General features: G+C 38.2%; 1 long non-coding RNA gene across 1 annotated transcript in view, besides 1 other annotated feature; it reads right to left on the reverse strand.

Moving 5' to 3' along the window:
• Window positions 468–657: a silencer, noted in NCBI's record as "fragment chr6:113834993-113835182 (GRCh37/hg19 assembly coordinates)". NCBI's record gives its function as "represses an EF-1alpha promoter that drives an FKBP-Casp9 reporter gene in an ReSE screen in K562 erythroleukemia cells {active_cell/tissue: K562}" and the evidence as "EXISTENCE:reporter gene assay evidence [ECO:0000049][PMID:32094911]".
• Window positions 5,947–19,703, reverse strand: part of LOC124901379 (uncharacterized) — a 68,150-nt gene continuing 54,393 nt past the window's right edge. Inside the window, exon 2 of the long non-coding RNA XR_007059713.1 lies at window positions 5,947–9,252. This is a non-coding gene — a long non-coding RNA (uncharacterized LOC124901379). The remainder of the gene's footprint in view (window positions 9,253–19,703) is intronic.

Raw genomic sequence — 19,703 nt, forward strand, 5'->3', positions numbered from 1 at the left:
TCCAGTGTGGAGTTCTCGCTAGAGGCTTACATGGTGTCTGCTTCCCCCAGAGCAAACATCCCAAGTAAAGCTGGAGGAAGTTGCATGGCCTTTTTTGAACTAGCCTCAAAAGGCACCATTGTTGCTGCCACTGCATTGTTGGTTGCAAGGTAGTTACTAAGGTTGGGCCAGGTTGCATAGGACAGGACAGGACACAGATCCCCACCTTTCCATGGGAGGAATGTCCAAAAATGTGAAGTCATGTTTTAAAACCGCCACATTGTAATTCACTTATTATAATTATAATGAAATTATCTTTCTTCTTCCCTGTACACTAAATACCCCCCACCCACCCCCCGACACACACGCACAAGAAAACTTCTGAAATTACATTACCCTGTAAAAATCCTGACTGAAATGTAAAGGTTTTGTTTGTTTGTTTGTTTGTTTGTTTGAGATGGAGTCTCGCTCTGTCGCCCAGGCTGGAGTGCAGTGGCACGATCTCCGCTCCCTGTAAAAATCCTGACTGAAATGTAAAGGTTTTGTTTGTTTGTTTGTTTGAGATGGAGTCTCGCTCTGTCTCCCAGGCTGGAGTGCAGTGGCACGATCTCCGCTCACTGCAAGCTCCGCCTCCCGGGTTCACGCCATTCTCCTGCCTCAGCCTCCCGAGTAGCTGGGACTACAGGCGCCCGCCACCACACCCAACTAATTTTTTTGTGTTTTTCGTAGAGACGGGGTTTCACCATGTTAGCCAGGATGGTCTCGATCTCCTGACCTCGTGATCCGCCTGCCTCGGCCTCCCAAAGTGCTGGGATTACAGGCGTGAGCCACCGCGCCTGGCCCTGAAATGTAAAGTTTTTGAAAGTACAAGATTTAGTTGTTGGTTTAAAGCAAACATTTTCAGTTCTCAGGGAAAAAAGTTCAAGGGTATTTTGGCTATTTTCACCTGGATAGTACGGAGGGAATTTAAAATTTTTTTATTGGCTTTAACATTGTTTCACAGAGACTGAGAAGTCTGTATGCATAATTCAACTAATAAATTTGATTCTAAGCCAAGGTTTGATTAACATTTTGACACCACCCATCAAACAAATTTTTCAAAGAGCGTTCTATTCTATTAATTACAAAATAATGAAATCTTTTGGCTCCTGACCATCCAAAGGTTATTTCAGGGCATCTCTTCCTTTTTGTAATGTGTAAGGTACTCAAATGTCATTGTGAGTGGAGGACTGAGAGGAGATGGAAGCTAATCAGAGCTTTTTTTCCCAGGCAGACCAGGCACTTGAGTATACTGAGGATTTTCAGTAAGGTGAATACATGGTCTTTTCAGTGAAACTTCTAAGTGTGGGGACATTGCTAAAATTTACTTCCATCAAGAAGAAACTCCATACCGCCTTTCCTGCCCCACTTATCCTTTATGTGGTTCAAATATGAAAATATTGTAAACTAATTCATGTATTTATCTCTCTCTCCTACTAAATCATAAATTTACATGGTGGCAGAAATTGAGCTTTAGTTATCTTTTCATCTCTGATGGCTGGAACATAGAAGATGCTTTAAAAACATTGGAATATTTTATTATTTATTTTTCCTTGTAAAAGCAGTGTTCTGAAGTCTTTAGAAAGTTATACATATACATTCTTTATTTAAAAGAATGCTGACTACAAGTTTCCAGATTTTCCAATGAATTTGTAAACCTACAGTGTTGGTGCAAAAGTAATTGCTGTTTTTGCCATAAAAGTAATGGCAAAAACAGCAATTACTTTTGCATCAATCTAATAGATAAGTGGTTTTCAATCCTGAGGCACATTGAAGGCCCTAGAAAATTCCAGCTCCCAATCCCAGGAAACCTAATTTTAATTGGCCTGTAGTGTGGCCCAATCCTTTGTTTTGTTTTGTAACATCTTACAAAAATGTAGTACACTTGTTAAAACAAAGAAATAAACATTGGTACAGAACCCTTAACAAAACTACAGATGGTTATTCATATTTCACCAGTTTTTCCGGGAATGACCTTTTTCTGTTCCAGGGTCTAATCTGCGATCCCACGTTGCATTTAGTTTCTTCTTGCTCTTTCCAATCCATGACAGCTCTCGTTCTTTCCTTGTCTTTCATGACATTGTACTTTTGAAGAGCTCCTGTCACTTGTTTTGTAGAATGTTCCTTGATTTGGGTTTCTCTAATGTTCTCTTACTATTATATTAAAGTTTCTAATTTTTTGCTAGAATACTACAGAAATGATGTGCCCTTCTTGGTACATTCTATCAGTGGATACCTTATGTCAATATGTCTTATTATTGGTGATACTAATTTTGATGACTTGGTTAAAGTGGTGTCTGCTAGGTTTCTCCACTGCAACAATACTAGTTTCACCTTTGTAATTAATAAATATCTTACAGAAAATACTTTGAGACTATACAAATATCCTTTTCCTCCTCAAACATTAAAACTGACTTGAGCCTGTATCAGTAGATCTTGCATGCAAAAACTCTTACCATTGTGCTCTAATGGTGATTTTCTATTTCCTTCATTTCTTCCATGTTTATTAATTGGAACCTTCTATGAGGGAATACTTTCTCTTCTCTCTCATTTGTTTAATTATTTATGTCAGTATGGACATACGGATCAAATTTTTATAGCTCCAAGGTGATTCTAATTTATTCTCAAGATTGAAAACCACTGCTAAGTGGTCTTTGAACCTAGTTCATGATGTGGTGTCTCTACTCTGTCTGGTAACACAATGGTCTTGTTTTGTTTTGTTTTTTTTTCAATATGTGTTATTTATATTACCTGTTTCTATAGTTAACTGAGTGCATCTCTCCTCTGCCACAGATAAACTTCGCCACACCCTAAAATATCATAAGCCAGAACACTTGTACCTCTAAATTTCTGGGTCTAACCACAAATTCATAGCTGTTTACCTAGACTACCTCACATTTACTAAAGTAAGCTTTGATTTCAGCATGAACTCAAATCCTATAATACCTGCACCCCAAACATACCGTGCCACCTCCTTTTGATATTCACTAGCCTCTTAGCCAATCAGTTGTGTTGGTTAATAATTTCCATCTTACATTCCCTAGCATCACAAGATATTATGAAATTTGGTGCTTCTTGTATAGAGATATTTTTGTATCATTACCCTTGTTATCTGTTCTTCACTGCACTGCATTTAGTAGATGTTCTATTCCCTTGCTACTCAAAGTGTGCTACTCAAAGACCAATGTATTAGCATCACCTGGATGCTTGTTAGCAATGCAGAATCTCAGGACCCACCCCAAACCTACTGAATCAAAATAGAAATTGGTGTGTCACGCCAATAATTCACAAGCTTATATATATATATATGAATAACCAGGGGATCTTACTGAAATACAGATTTTGGTATTAGGTATGGAATTGGGGCTAGATATTGAGGTGATGCTGCTGGTCCCTGACCCACACATAGAATGCAAAAATCTGGTCCAGTCACTCCCAAAGTGTCATCTGGAATAGCATCTTCAGCATCATCTGAGAAATTTTAAAAATGTAAATTCTTGGGCTAATTCCCAGAACTACTGGATCAAAAGTTCTGGGAGTGGCAGTCAGTAATCTATGTTTTAACAAGCCAATAAGACTGTCAGACGATTACGATGCTTGCTAAATTTGAGAACATTGGTCTAATCCATTGGTCTCATACTTGACTGTACATTAGAATCACCTAGGAAGCATTTTTACAAAACAAAACAAAGAAACAAAAAAAAAAACACTGATGCCTGGTTCTTTTACCAAGAGATTCTTTAAAGTGAACACAAGCCATGTTCACTTTAAGTGTTGACTATTTACCAAGATAGATCATATTCTAAGCCATAAAACAAGTCTCGAGAAATTCAAAAGAATTTACATCATACAAAACATGTTCTCTGCCCACAGTATAATTGAATGAGAAACCACTAACAGAAAACAAATTCAGAAAATTCCCTAATGTTTAGAAACCAAATCCACACATATATAACCCATGAAATAAAAGAGAAACTAGTTTAAAGTAAAGGAAAACAAAGACACAATAGATCAAAACTTGTAAGATTCAAGAAAAGCAATACTAAAAGGGAAATGTATGGTACTGAACCCCTATACTAGAAAAGAAGAAATGCTTCAAATCAAAGTTCCTGGTTTCCATCTGAAAAAAAAAAAAAAAAAAAAACTAGAAAAAGAAGAATAAATTAAATCTAAAAATAGTCAAAAGAAACAAAACGATAAAGATTAGAGCCGAAATCAACAAAATATAAAAGAAGAAAAAAAATAGAGAAAAATCAATAAAACCAAAAGCTAATTTATTGAGAACAGAAACCTCTGACTAGATTGATTAGACATTGATAAACCTCACACCAGACTGATCAGGGACAAAAAAGAGAAGACACACCTCACCAAAAAACAGAAATGAGAAAGGTGATATCTCTATGATTTCTACAGATATTATGAGGATGATAAGAAAATATTGTAACCAATTTTACATTAATACATTCAACAAATTCAATGAAATGAACAAATGCCTCGAAAAACACAAAACTACCAAAGTTCATTCAAGTTATAAATAACCTGATAGCCTTATATCTATGAAAGAATTTTAATTTGTAGTAAAAAGAAATCTCTCTTTTCTCACTAAAAAAATTCCAGGCTTATGATTTCACAGGCCAATTCTACCAGACATTCAAGGAAGAAATAATGAAACCGCCTTTGCAAAATTATGACTGAGACAGTGAAACAGATCTAATTTAATTGACTCCATCTTGCTTCTAACCTCCAAGCTGTCCTTGTTCATTCCTGGACATAGGCTGAACTAACTTTGGGAGAAACTTAGTTTACAGTTTATAGTTTAAAACAAAGATGATAACAGCCTTTTCCCAAAGCAGATCTCCTTCTTGCCTGGGGACTAGATTGCCTTTATAGGACTAACATTAGCCACAAGATTAGAAATTGTGGTTTAGGAGTCAGGCAGCTGGAGGCTACAAGATTCTGACCCTCCCTCAACTGTTCTTGACATTAGTGCTTGCGGTGTTTTGCAGCCCCTGCACTTGATGGACAAGCTGGCACCACCCAGGTGGATTAAATGGCTCATCTGATATTGTTGCCCCCACCCAGAAACTGACTCAGTGCAAGACAGCTTGGACTCCCCATGATTTAATTCCTGACCCATCAGCAGTCCTGGCTCACTGGCTTCTCCCCACTGACCGAGTTGTCCTTAAAAACTCTGATCCCCTAATGCTCCAGGAGACTGATGTGGGTGGTGTCCGTCACAGCCAGCTCTATGTGGATTACTCTTTCTCTATTGCAATTCCCCTGTCTTGACAAATCGACTGTGTCTAGGCAGTGGGCAAGGTGAACCCATTGAGCAGCTGCAATAATATAAATTCAATATAAATGCTTCCAGAAAAACAGAGGAGGAAGCACTACTTTAACAACTTATTCTATTATTATAAGTTTAGCACCACTCTGATACTAAAACCAGACAAGGAAATTACAGGAAAACTACAGACCAGCATCAGTCATCAGCATAAATATTAAAAGTCTTAAAATTTTAGCAAATTGGGTATCCAAAATTATGTAAAAAGAATAATGCAACATAGCCAACTAGGCATTACCTCAGGAATGTGAGGTTGGCTTAACAGGAAAATTCAGTCAATGTAATTCATTACATTATTAGAAAAATAATATTATCATCTCAATAGATGCAGAGAAAGAATTTGACAAAATTCAACATCTATTTCTGATAAAAAGTCTCAGAAAACTATGACTAGAAAGGAACTTTCTCAACCTAACTAAAAAGGGACAATTGAAGAAAAAAAAGATTACTTAATACTTAAATGGTAAAAAACGAAAAGCTTTCCCTCTAGGGTCAGTAACAAGGGTGTCATCATTTCTATTCAAAATTGTACTAAAGATTCTTTCCAGCATAATAAGGCAAGAAAAAGACAAATGGCATCAATATTGGAGTGAAGGAAGTTAAAGCTGTCTTTATTAGAAAACAACATAATTTCTATGTAGAAAATCCTACAAAACCTATAAAAAAAACTGGTAGAATTAATAAATTATTTTAGCAAGGTTACAGACTAAAAGATCAGAATACAAAAATAAATTATAATTTGCATATACTAACAGTGAATAATCAGAAATTGAAATTCAGAAAAACAGTATTTACAGTAACATCACAAATATGAAATATTTTGGAATAAATTTAACAAATGATATGTGAGACTTGAACATTGAAAATGATAAAACACTGCTGAAAAAAATTAAAGAAATTGTAAATAAATGGAGACTCATACCACATACCACATTTATATATTTAAAGACTTAATATTGTTAATATTTGATCTATATGTTCAATACAATGCTAATCAAAATTCTAGAAGCCCTTTTCTTTAACAAGCAGACTCTAAAATGTATATGAAAATTCAAAGACCCCTGAAAGGCAAAATTTTTTTAAGAAAAATAAAGATGGAGGACTTATGCTACCAGATTTCAAGGTTTATTATAAAGCTATGGCAATCAAGACAGTGTGGCATTGGTACAAAAGTAGGCAAATAGATCAATGCAACAGAAAAGAGTTTAGAAATTAACCCACATGTTTATAATTAATTGATGTTCAACCAAGTGACCAATATAATTCAGCAAGAGAAAGGATAATCTTTTTGGCAAATGGTTCTGGAAAAACTAGATATCAATACAGAAAAAAATAAATACACCTTGACCCTTTCCTGACAATTAATTCAAATACATCATAGAACTACATAAAGGAGCAAAATTATTCAACTTCTAGTATTAAAAAAAAAAAAAACAGAAGAAACTCCTAGTGTCCTTGAGCTTGGCAAAAGCACAAATCATAAAAGAAAAATTCAATAAACTGGACTTCAGCAAAGTTAAAAACTTTTAACAGAGTGGGAGAAACTATTTGCAAGACATATAGCTGACAATAAACTTTTATCTAGAATTACATTGAAAAACCCTTCCTACTCAAAAATAAAAGGACAAATGATCCAATCTTTAAAAAATTGAACAGACACTTTACCAAAGAATATATACGATTAGCAAAGAAACACATGAAAATATGCTCAACATCATTTGTCATTAACAAAATACATATTAAAACTATAATAAGACACCAGTATGTACCTATTAGAAATGGCTAAAATTTAAAAGACTAACCACACCAAATGTTGGCAAGGATGTGGAGGAACTGAAATAATATTTAATGCTGATAAAAATGTAAAAGGGTTAGCCACTTTGGAAAAATGTTTGTCAGATTCTTAAAACTGAAGCATCCATTTACTTAATTCTATTTTTACATATTTATGCAAAAACATAAGGAAGGCATGTCTGTCTCTACAAATATTGTACATGAATGTTCATAGCAGCTTTATTTGTAATAGTCACAACTCAAGTGTCCATTAATAAGTGAACTGATAAATTATGTTTTTTCCACACAATGGGATACTACTCAGCAATATTTTTTAAATGAGCTTTTGATACATGTAACTTCTTTCTGATGAAAGAAGAGAGACCAAATAGAGTATATACTGCATGATTCTATTTATATACAATTGTAGAAAGTGCAGGCCAATCTATAGTGGCAGAAAGCAGATGAATTGTTTCCTGGAAAGGGCAAGGAGGGGCAGGAGGAAGAGATTATCAAGGAGCTTGCAAAAAATGTATGGATATATTTATTATCTTGATTGTGATGATGGTTTCATAAGTGTATACATATGTCAAAATTTACTGTATGTTAATGACATCTCAATAAAGCTGTTTTAAAAATTATAAAAAATCAAAACCATACACCCACATATATAATGAATATAGATTTTAAAACAATAAATCTAATGCCTGGAACTCTTATCCAGAAATTTGGATTTCATTGATAAGTGGTGTGACCTAGATATCAAGGTTTTGTTGTTGTTGTTGTTGTTGTTGTTTTACAGTGCAGTGGCGCGATCTCAGCTCACTGCAAGCTCCGCCTCCCAGGTTCACACCATTCTCCTGCCTCAGCTTCACAAGTAGCTTGGACTACAGGCACCCGCCACCACGCCCAGCTAATTTTTTTGTATTTTTAGTAGAGACGGGGTTTCACCATGTTGGCCAGGATGGTCTCGATCTCCTGACCTTGTGATCCGCCCGCCTCGGCCTTCCAAAGTGCTGGGATTACAGGCGAGAGCCACCACACCCGGCCGATATCAAGATTTTTAAAGAACTCCCTAGATGATTCTTATCTGCAACAAAATTTAAGAACCACTATCCTATTCCATGACCCTAATCTGCATCTGCAGTCCTGAAAAACCCTCACCTAAATTAATGCCCGTAGTTGCCAGGGAACCATGTTGGAAAATGTGAGTAGGCAATGTAAATCCATCCTCACTTCAAGAAAACAACCTGAAGCACCTAATATTGATAGCCAATCAGTAGTATCATCTTTGTAAAATGAAGGATAACTTTATATTTTAAAAATGTGCCTCTGAAAGTTCAGTGCCAGTTCTGACAACTGAAAAATATGTAACCATAGATGCAGAATATAAGAAGTAAATAATTCAGAAAATGAAGCTTTCTAGCTGGACACGATGGCTCACACCTATAATTCCAGCTATTCAGGAGGCTGTGGTGGGAGGATCTATTGAGCCCAGGAGTTTAAGGCTGCAGTAAGCTGTGATCACACCACTGCACTCCAGCTGGGCCGACAGAGAAAGAACCTGTTCCAACTCCACCTTCCATCCCTCACCAAAAATTAAGTTTTCTGACAAGCCCTGCTGAACAGGGAAGGTGAAAGGTACATGAGAAGGTAGAAAATGTAGAAAGGAACAACTTCAGAAGTTCTGGACAATGGATCAGGAAGTAAAGGAAGTTAACACCTCAAATCATCGCTCTTAAAAGTATTCTGTGTCAATAAAACAAAGTTTACTTTCTCGTATTTGGTGACTTCTATATTTTTTTCTATTGAATAATTTTTAATGTGGTTTTATTTTTTAATATGCCTGTTTTATTGTTCCTTTCTTCAAAAAGATATCTGGAATTATTTTCCTTCTTCTTATCAGCCATGCAAATAATTGTGCAGTCTTATGTTTTGTTTTATTGGTTTATTAATTTTAAGGATTTAAGGATTCTTTTTGAACTCATTTTACCATAAGAATATTTACATTCCTTTTCACCAACTTCTGCTTATTCAAAGATGTGAGGAAATTAGTTCACTGTGCTCAATCCTCAGCTGTTTTCTTCCAGCAACTCTGATAAGTCCCTGGAGAATTCCTTTAGGAACAAGAAAAGAGACAGAAATTGTTGCTTTCAGTCATCTGTCCCTCCCTAACACCAACTAACACTTGTCCTGAATTCCACTGAAATATTTTGTAGATAATGATAAGTCTATGCATCTCCTCTAAGTGCTTGGCGTCCTTGCTATTTTATAAAGGCAAGAACTCAAGAGGAAAAGAAGAGCACTTCCAGATCATGTTTGATCTTCAAACCAATGTGCAAAAATTAAAGGTGCTAAAATCCCAAAATTTTGTATAAGGAACAATTTCAACTTCTTTTATTAGAAATGGCAAAAATGGGCTAGGCACAGTGGGTCATACCTGTAAACCCAGCACTTTGGGAAACCGAGGTGAGAGAATCACTTGAGCCCATGAGTTTGAGACCAGCCTGGGCAACAAGGTAAGACCCCCAACCTCTATAAAAAAATGTTTTTTTTTTAATTAGCAGGGCATGGTGGCATACATCTGTGGTCCCAGCTATTCAGGAGGCTGAGGTTGGGAGGATTATTTCAGCCCAGGAGGTCAAAGCTGTAGTGAGCTGTGATCATGCCACTGTACTCCACCTTGGGTGGCAGAGCAAGACCCTGTTTCAGAAAAAGAAAAAAGAAAGAAATGGCAAAAATGCAGGTTTGTTTTACACTTCTTTATAGCTGTGATACTGTTTAACTGCAGAGGGTACAGAACTCTTCTCCGGAGGAAATAAAAGAGCTCAGACATACATTATTTCACACAGAAATATTCCAGGTAACATTACAAATTGAGACACAGGTCAAAAATGACTCCTAAATATTTGTATTATTAGGTCAGAAATGAACTAAATAAGATGAAAATATTATTTTTGTTTTGTTTTAAGATTATTTCCACCTTTTTTTTTTTTTTTTTGAGATGAAGTCTCGCTCTTGTCCCCCAGTCTGGAGTGCAATGGCATGATCTCGGCTCACTGCAACCTCCGCCTCCCGGATTCAAGCAATTCTCCTGCCTCAGCCTCCCAAGTAGCTGGGATTACAGGTGTGTACCACCACGCCCAGCTAATTTTTGGTATTTTAAGTAGAGACGGGGTTTCACCATGTTGGCCAGGCTGGCCTCAAACTCCTGACCTCAGGTGATCCGTCTGCCTCGGCCTCCCAAAGTGGTGGATTTACAGGCATGAGCCACCACTCCTGGCCTCCACCCTTAATTTTTTAAATTTATTTTATTTTTGTTTAAGTTTCAGGGTACATGCACAGGATATGCAGGTTTGTTTCATAGGTAAACTTGTGCCATGGTGGTTTGCTGCACCTGTCAACCCATCACCTAGTAATTAAGCCCAGCATGTGTTATTTCTTTTTTCTAATGCTCTCCCCACCCTGCCCTCCCCCGACAGGCCCCAGTGAGTGGTTGTTCCCTCCCTGTGTCCATGTACTCCCATTGTTTAGCCCCTATTATAAGTAAGAACACGCGATGTTTGGTTTTCTGTTCCTGCATTAGTTTGCTGAGGATAATGGCTCCAGCTCCATCCATGTCCCTGCAAAGGAGGAGATCTCATTACTTTTTATGGCTGCATAGTGTTGCATGGGGTATATGTACCAAGTTTTCTTTATCCAGTTTATCATTGATGGTCATTTGGGTTGACTTTATGTCTTTGCTATTGTGAATAGTGCTGCAATAAACATACGTGTGTATATATCTTTATAATAGAATGTTTTATGTTCCTTTGGATATATACCCAGTAATGGGATTGCTGGGCCAAATGGTATTTCTGGTTCTTAATCTTTGAGGAATCACCACACTGTCTTCCACAGTGGTTGAACTAATTTACATTTTTGATGTTAAGAATTGTATAAGCAATGATTTAATAATGGGTCATAAAGAAGTTGTAGTCATAGACCCAATTTTAAAAATAAAACAGTTTTGAGCGATAAACAGGTAGTGATCACAGTCCCAACTTAAAAAATGTACTCTGACTCTACATGGCCATATAGAATATAGCATAGTTTAATAGATATGAGAGTTATAAGAAGAGCATGAGAAAAAAAGATTACAGAAGGAATGATGTGTGTGAGTACTGATAAGCATGAGGGCAACTCAAATATGGAGAATCGCAGTTGTTGTACAGCAGGCACAGTCAGAACCAAAGTCCCAGATAGATAGAGTGGCCCTGTAATTTACTACCCAAATAGGACACTTTTGAGAATAAGAGGGGCACAATTACTAATTGCTTAGGACTCTCCTGGGCGAACTAGAATATATAATTATTTTACAAAGAGCAGAGGGTAATGAGAGAAGAAGGAAGAGGGCAGTGGAAACACTGAAATCTCTTGAGAAGGTGTTTAAATTTGATGTGACAGGCTATTGAAAACTACCACAAAAGAGGTCACATAAGATAAAGAAAATATTTGCTGTGTGAATGCAGCTGATCAGATGAAGATAGACTAAAGGCAGAGAAATTGGCAAGGAAGTTGTTTAAGGCAGTAAGTTCAAGATTCTGTGTCTGTAGAATGAAAAGGTGCCAAGAGTGGACTTAGGAAACATTTGAGGGAAAGAAACACAGGATAGATAGTAAACCGATGGCTGGGCAGTCAAGCAAAGTGATACAGTGCTAGGACCAACAATGTAGGGAATGGGGAAAGCATTCAAGAAAAGAATCTGGGGAATTGTCAACACAGATAAAGATGCTCAAGAAGTGCATGTGTGAAAAATGTGGGTGTGTATACAGAATACGATATGGGGAATTAGAAGAATCCAAGAAAGTAGAAAGGAAGGTGAAATAAGACAGTTCTGAGGATGGCTAAAGGAGCCTAGCAACTGAGAAGTCAAGAGCGTCCGAGATGACAAAGTGGTTGGTGGTGTTAACACAGTGTCCAGGCTGAGAAAGGAGGAGAACAAGACAATATATTTGCCTTGGGTGACATCACCAAGATGTCTCATTAAACACAAAAACTAAGTTAACAGGGACTCAGAGAGGAAAATGATAAAGAGTAATTAAAGTCAGAGATCAATTTTTTTGTGTATGTGGTGGTAAAAAATGAGAGAGATTGCAGCCCTTTGAGAAATAGCTGCAATATTTTGCACATGATGTAAGAAATTGATTAAAACTATAATTGGAAAATACAGATGTTATGAAATTTTGGAGAAACATGCTTGATGGCTGTTCTTCTGCTGTATTTTTTAATTGTTGATTTCAATATACAAAACTCATTTCTTTTCACCTCTTTTTGACACCATCAATCTTGGTAGCTTTGGGCTCTCCTTGGTTTACTAATGTATAACTTATGCTCAATTTTGACCCCACTCCTATTAGTCAACTTTCAGTTCAATCGAATCCCATCCAGGCTAACAAAAATATTTTAAAATAGTACTCTTTTGTGACTAAATTAATTTTTCACTTTGACATAATTTGAGGAAGCATTGAGTATGAAAGAAGTCTCGTAATTTCATAATTAGATTACAGAGATGGGAAAAATAGAAATATCTTTTGGGCAAGTTTTTCCAATAATCTACGAAATTTACAACTAGGTAACTTAGTTCCTGTGAAACTGGGAAAAATTTCACTCTACCTAAAGACTTATTTTCTAATTAATTCTAAATGTTTTGAAAATCAGGCCTGACACCTGAAATTTCTACATTCACAGTGTTGTCTGATGGGATATATATAATACGGCAGAGTTTACTCCCTTTTTATTCTTAAATACAAACTGGATTATATTTTCATGAATTGCCTTCTAAGTGAACTGACCAAAAAATAAAGTTATTCTATTTTAACATCTTATTAGCTCCTGTTGGCTTAATTCTTATCTTTTTTTTCACAAATCATTCTAATTCAAGGCTACTATTTGCCTTGAACTTTTGTGTAAATTAGAAAAAGTGCCTCTTCCTCAACACCTGGCTTCAACTGGCTTCCATTGTTCAATCTCATAACAAACATGAACATCTACATCTTTGATGTGAACGGCGCCCTTAGAGTTGTGCAGTGTACAGCCTGTACAACCATGCACAGCACCCCTTGGAAGTTGTACCTGGTGCCTTTCTCCCTCAACTCTAGTGCACATTCACCTAGAGAAGGTAAAGCAAGGACCTGAGGCCCAGAAGAGTGAAGCAATTTCTCCATAAAGTCTTGTTAACACGTGGTGGTAAAACCAAAGGGAGAGATCTAACTTCCTGGCACTTAGGACCAGAATAACCTGAATCCCTCTCAGTAATCCTCCCAGGACTGCCAACCTCCCACTCAGTGGTGATGCTCCAGCATGCCCTGGAAGGGTGACATCATTATTACCCTCTGTATTAGGACTGTAACCTTAGGTAGGAAAGCAGCCTTGTTCTGCTAAGGAACTTCCTTTTCTGATGTAGTATTTACAATACTTGGCTGTACTTATGCATAAAGAGAAGGTGGTGATACCCACCTGTCTACCTCACAGACTTTGAGATTTTCAAAAGAGATAATCAATCTGAATGTTTTGTTAACTGTAATGTGCTCTGATCTGATATTATCACCTTGAATCACAAAGATATTTAATAAAAGGGGAAAAAAGTAAAACTTAACAATTAGTGGGAGAAGAGGTCTGGATTGGGCTTATCCCTGGGCTTATTCTAAGAAGACAGTGCCAGAGCTAACACTCCCTCTGTCCCTGCTATTGCAACAGATATATGTAATCTCCTAAAATAACCAGGCTGCCAGCTAACTAGGTGACGCACATCCAATTCAAACCCATACCAGCTCCATGCAGCTACTCTGTAATAAGAATATTTTAATATTTAATGCAGCACCTTTCGTCTAAGGATTTCAAATATTTTTTAGTCAATAATTAAGTTTTATAGCACCAAGAGAGCCGCCTAAATTTTTGAGAAGTTGCAGAACTTTAAAGCTAAAGGGCAATGTCTGGATGTGAAATATAATTCATTGAAGACCATTCTGCTTTTCAGGTACATGTGATCATCTCATTTTAACATTTTTTTTCTTTTTGAGGTCAATGGTACATGAATTGTGTTGGGAGCTGAGAGCCTTGACACAGTAAACATACTCTTAGGGACCTAGGACCAAGCCCTGGCTTTACAGTCACCTGGACTCGTGGCCAAGACAAGTCACTTTACCTTTATGGGCTTCAGACTGTGCACATGTAAAGACCCTTGAGGGCACTGGTGTTAATGGTTAAAGCATCTGTAGGCAGGTAGATACAAACAGATTCAGACTGAAAGGAACATTAAATAGCAAACACCTGCACTGCAATTCAAATGTGTGTTCTATTTGTGCAGTTTTCATCTTCTGTTCTGTATCTGGTCTTTGCAACCAATCTTTCAATCTGTTGATCTAGTGGAAATAAACATTAATGAGACAGCAATTGATTGATCAGATCAATAAAACATAATCAGATCATTGTTTTGAATAGCATACACTTCACACAGAGTTTTCAGAACAGCTATCAACCTGATTTGATTACTATTAACACACCTGAACCTTGTTGGTGATTAAATTAAGGTAGCATCCATTTTTCCTCCAGGCTTCTTCAGACTTCATTAGATACTCCTAACATTTAGGAATGCTACACACTCAAGCAAACTGTCATAAGATATCTTAAGCCTCCTGCATGCTGAATCTCCACAAATGTCCTCCATGTTTGGCTCCCTTTTGAAGTTAGCAGACAAGAATGCTTGATTAAACGTATTTAAGCTTCTCACCGATCCTCCTTCCAAGTTGCTTTCAGAAGGCTTATGTTGGATTTATACTGAAGAGGTGGAAGAATGAAGGAAAAAATATATTGAGAAATAATCTGCTTCATATATATCCTTTTTTTCCAGAGACATATTGCTGCTGCTCTTAAAACATTTCTTTAACGGAATTTCTTTATATCCTAATCCCCTAAGTAGTAGAAGCCTGAAGGAGTTCTTCAGATAGTCAGTCCCTTTCAACAATGTGGGATGCCTCTTCTTTAGAAAACTTAAGAGATAATCAATGCTATTCTGAGGGCTGTCCTCCTACAAAATAAGAATTATAAGGAAAGGAGTCCGTGAAACTCTTAAAGCAGTACTTTGAGCTTTGTTTTGTTTTAACTTTTGGTTCTGACTATGTCAGAGGACTTGTTTCATGATTTGGGGCTGACACATAGGCTATGAAGGCTCCTTAGCTTTCTAATATGAAAGCTGATGAGATAGGACTGAATGACTTCTAAGATCACTTTCACCAAGAACCAGTTCAGAGGCACTAGGAGAGGATGGTTAAGAGTGCAGCCTCTGGGGTCAAGCTGCTTTGTTTTGACTCTTGGCTCTCCCACTGTCCTGCTGTAATTTCTGCAAGTTGTTCTTTATTCTCTCCTCAGATATGGCCTTCATGTCTATCAAACCCTGTTCAGGATTCATGTGTAGTGAATCTTTTCCCAGTGGCCCTTCTCTTCTCTAGTCACCAGAGTCTCTCTGGAAACCTCACCATACTTCCTCCCCATATAGTCTAACTCCCCATGGCTATACTACATACAATGCAAAGGAAGGGCCTGAAATACTGAAGCACCACTTATCAAACTGCCTACATAGAGTTGGACAGTAACTATTTATACATTCAGAATACTATCACTAACATATAGTATGGTGGAAAGTTCAAGTTAGGAATCAGTAAGAGATAAGAAATTGGATGCTTTTTCGCTCAACATGAAGATAATCATTTATATTCACCCATTTCTTCATTAAAAGAATGACACTTATTTCTTTCCTGAGTTTTCTTCTCCTTGGACATTAAGGTAGGCAATCCCATGTGTGTAAGTAGGATTTGTGACTCACATCTTACCAAAAGAATACAGCAACAGTGATGGAATGTACATGATTATATCACATAAAATTATAGTGTCCTTCTTGCTAAAAGACTCTACCTTGTTTCCTGGCATTAGGAAGCATGCAGCCACATTTGGAAGATGGCCAACATGGAAATAGCTGAGGGCTGGCCAACAGTCAGCAAAGAGCTGAGACCCTCAGGCTGACAGTGCACAAGAAACAAAATGTTGCCAACAACCCCCTGACTTAGAATCAGATCCTTCTACAGTCAAGCCTCAGATGAGACCTCCAGCCCTGGCCAACACTGATCGCAGCCTTGCGAGACACGCAGAGCTCCTCAAGGCCAAATTCTGACCCACAAAATAAGAGAGAATAAATGTGTGTTGTTTCTGTTAATATTGTTACACAGCAATAGATGAATAATAAAATCCTCAAATTAGACTATACCCTTAAGTCACATTTGCTTCTTCCTATTTCTTGCCCCCATACTTTTTCTTACTCTGTTATCAGTTTCTGCGGTACCCTCTCTCTTTTTATCTAAATTATTTCTGTTTTTAAAGCCCGAACAAAATTGGTTGTCACTTCTCTGGACTCGCAGTGTTAAACCAAATAATCAGCCCATTGGGAGCTACAGCCTTGTTTATTTTGCTACATTACCACTATGCAGAGATAGTGATAGTTTCTTTTTGGAATCTAAATTAATAATCCAATATCTTACACACAACAGATGTTCAAAAATGGTTATCTATAATTAGTAAATGAAAAACATATTACAGTTCCAATTTGTATTGAGGAAAAAGTACAGTGGTGCATAATTTTTAATGAAAACATTTAATTACTGTTAGAAATGTGTTAACAGCCACTCAAACCAAATATATATTTTAAGGATATCCCACTTGAAATTGAGTTTAAATGCTCTATTAATATAGGGTGTACATACTCAGTGGTAGAAACTCTTAACAAGTGGATGAATAAAAAATAACTTCAAAGCATTTTAGGAGGCTGAGGCGGGTGGAACCCTTGAGGTCAGAGTTTGAGACCAGCCTGGCCAACATGGTGAAACCTTGTCTCTACCAAAAAATACAAAAATTAGCCAGACATGGTGGCACATGCCTGTAGTTCCAGCTACTTGGGAGGTTGAGGTGGGAGAATCTCTTGAACCCTAGAGGCAGAGTTTGCAGTGAGCCAAGATCGCACCACTGCACTCCAGCCTGGGTGACAGAGTGACACCCTGTTTCAAAAAAAACACTTCTTGCTTTGCTTTATTATTTTTCCTTTTGGAAATAAGTATTTGTTTCCAAAATGGTACTCATTAAATAGTGTTCAAAAAAGTTAAAATGTATATTAAAATCTCTGAATTTGGAAATTATCTTTAGGAGAAAAAGATAATTGCTTGCTTTAAAGATGGAGTATATTTTAAATAGCTCATTCATAAATATAAAAGGCTCTTCAATATCTAAGTCTGTAAAAACTAACCCTCATTAAATTGCTCATAGTAGTGAAAAAGAATAGTTGGACGCTAAGATGCTGAAATTTAAAGTAACCCCAGGCACTGATATTGTTTGCAAGGTCACAGTGAGCTCAGACTGGGTCAGATCTGACCCTCAGCCTTTGACCAGTGCTTTCAAACTACATGTGCATGTGCTTGCACATGGGTCTGTAGGAGGTAGAGTGACTCACCCAAGCATACTGTTATTCATACAAAAGCATTACAGCACTGCTCTGAGACTCAGACCATGTTGCCTTGGGCAAATCAGAAAAGTAGAAGCTTTGTCTGTATTTGTGGACTAAGAAAATATACATCCGGAGGGGAGCCAAGATGGCCGAATAGGAACAGCTCCGGTCTACAGCTCCCAGCGTGAGCGACCCAGAAGACGGGTGATTTCTGCATTTCCATCTGAGGTACCGGGTTCATCTCACTAGGGAGTGTCAGACAGTGGGCGCAGGTCAGTGGGTGCGTGCACCGTGCGCGAGCCGAAGCAGGGCGAGGCATTGCCTCACTTGGGAAGCGCAAGGGGCCAGGGAGTTCCCTTTCCGAGTCAAAGAAAGGGGTGACAGAGGGCACATGGAAAATCGGGTCACTCCCACCCGAATATTGCACTTTTCGGACCGGCTTAAAAAATGGTGCACCACAAGATTATATCCCACACCTGGCTGGGAGGGTCCTACGCCCACGGAGTCTCGCTGATTGCTAGCACAGCAGTCTGAGATCAAACTGCAAGGCAGCAGCGAGGCTGGGGGAGGGGCACCCGCCATTGCCCAGGCTTGCTTAGGTAAACAAAGCAGCCTGGAAGCTCGAACTGGGTGGAGCCCACCACAGCTCAAGGAGGCCTGCCTGCCTCTGTAGGCTCCACCTCTGGGGGCAGGGCACAGACAAACAAAAAGACAGCAGTAACCTCTGCAGACTTAAATGTCCCTGTCTGACAGCTTTGAAGAGAGCAGTGGTTCTCCCAGCATGCAGCTGGAGATCTGAGAACGGGCAGACTGCCTCCTCAAGTGGGTCCCTGACCCCTGACCCCCGAGCAGCCTAACTGGGAGGCACCCCCCAGCAGGGGCACACTGACACCTCACACGGCAGGGTATTCCAACAGACCTGCAGCTGAGGGTCCTCTATGTTAGAAGGAAAACTAACAAACAGAAAGGACATCCACACCAAAAACCCATCTGTACATCACCATCATCAAAGACCAAAAGTAGATAAAACCACAAAGATGGGGAAAAAACAGAACAGAAAAACTGGAAACTCTAAAATGCAGAGCTCCTCTCCTCCTCCAAAGGAACGCAGTTCCTCACCAGCAACGGAACAAAGCTGGATGGAGAATGACTTTGACAAGCTGAGAGAAGAAGGCTTCAGACGATCAAATTACTCTGAGCTACGGGAGGACATTCAAACCAAAGGCAAAGAAGTTGAAAACTTTGAAAAAAATTTAGAAGAATGTATAACTAGAATAACCAATACAGAGAAGTGTTTAAAGGAGCTGATGGAGCTGAAAACCAAGGCTCAAGAACTACGTGAAGAATGCAGAAGCCTCAGGAGCCGATGTGATCAACTGGAAGAAAGGGTATCAGCAATGGAAGATGAAATGAATGAAATGAAGCGAGAAGGGAAATTTAGAGAAAAAAGAATAAAAAGAAATGAGCAAAGCCTCCAAGAAATATGGGACTATGTGAAAAGACCAAATCTACGTCTGATTGGTGTACCTGAAAGTGATGGGGAGAATGGAACCAAGTTGGAGAACACTCTGCAGGATATTATCCAGGAGAACTTCCCCAATCTAGCAAGGCAGGCCAACATTCAGATTCAGGAAATACAGAGAACGCCACAAAGATACTCCTCGAGAAGAGCAACTCCAAGACACATAACTGTCAGATTCACCAAAGTCGAAATGAAGGAAAAAATGTTAAGGGCAGCCAGAGAGAAAGGTCGGGTTACCCTCAAAGGGAAGCCCATCAGACTAACAGCGGATCTCTCGGCAGAAACCCTACAAGCCAGAAGAGAGTGGGGGCCAATATTCAACATTCTTAAAGAAAAGAATTTTCAACCCAGAATTTCATATCCAGCCAAACTAAGATTCATAAGTGAAGGAGAAATAAAATCCTTTACAGACAAGCAAATGCTGAGAGATTTTGTCACCACCAGGCCTGCCCTAAAAGAACTCCTGAAGGAAGCGCTAAACATGGAAAGGAACAACCGGTACCAGCCGCTGCAAAATC

This window comes from Homo sapiens, chromosome 6 (assembly GCF_000001405.40).
Source record: "Homo sapiens chromosome 6, GRCh38.p14 Primary Assembly".
Classification (NCBI taxonomy): domain Eukaryota; kingdom Metazoa; phylum Chordata; class Mammalia; order Primates; family Hominidae; genus Homo; species Homo sapiens.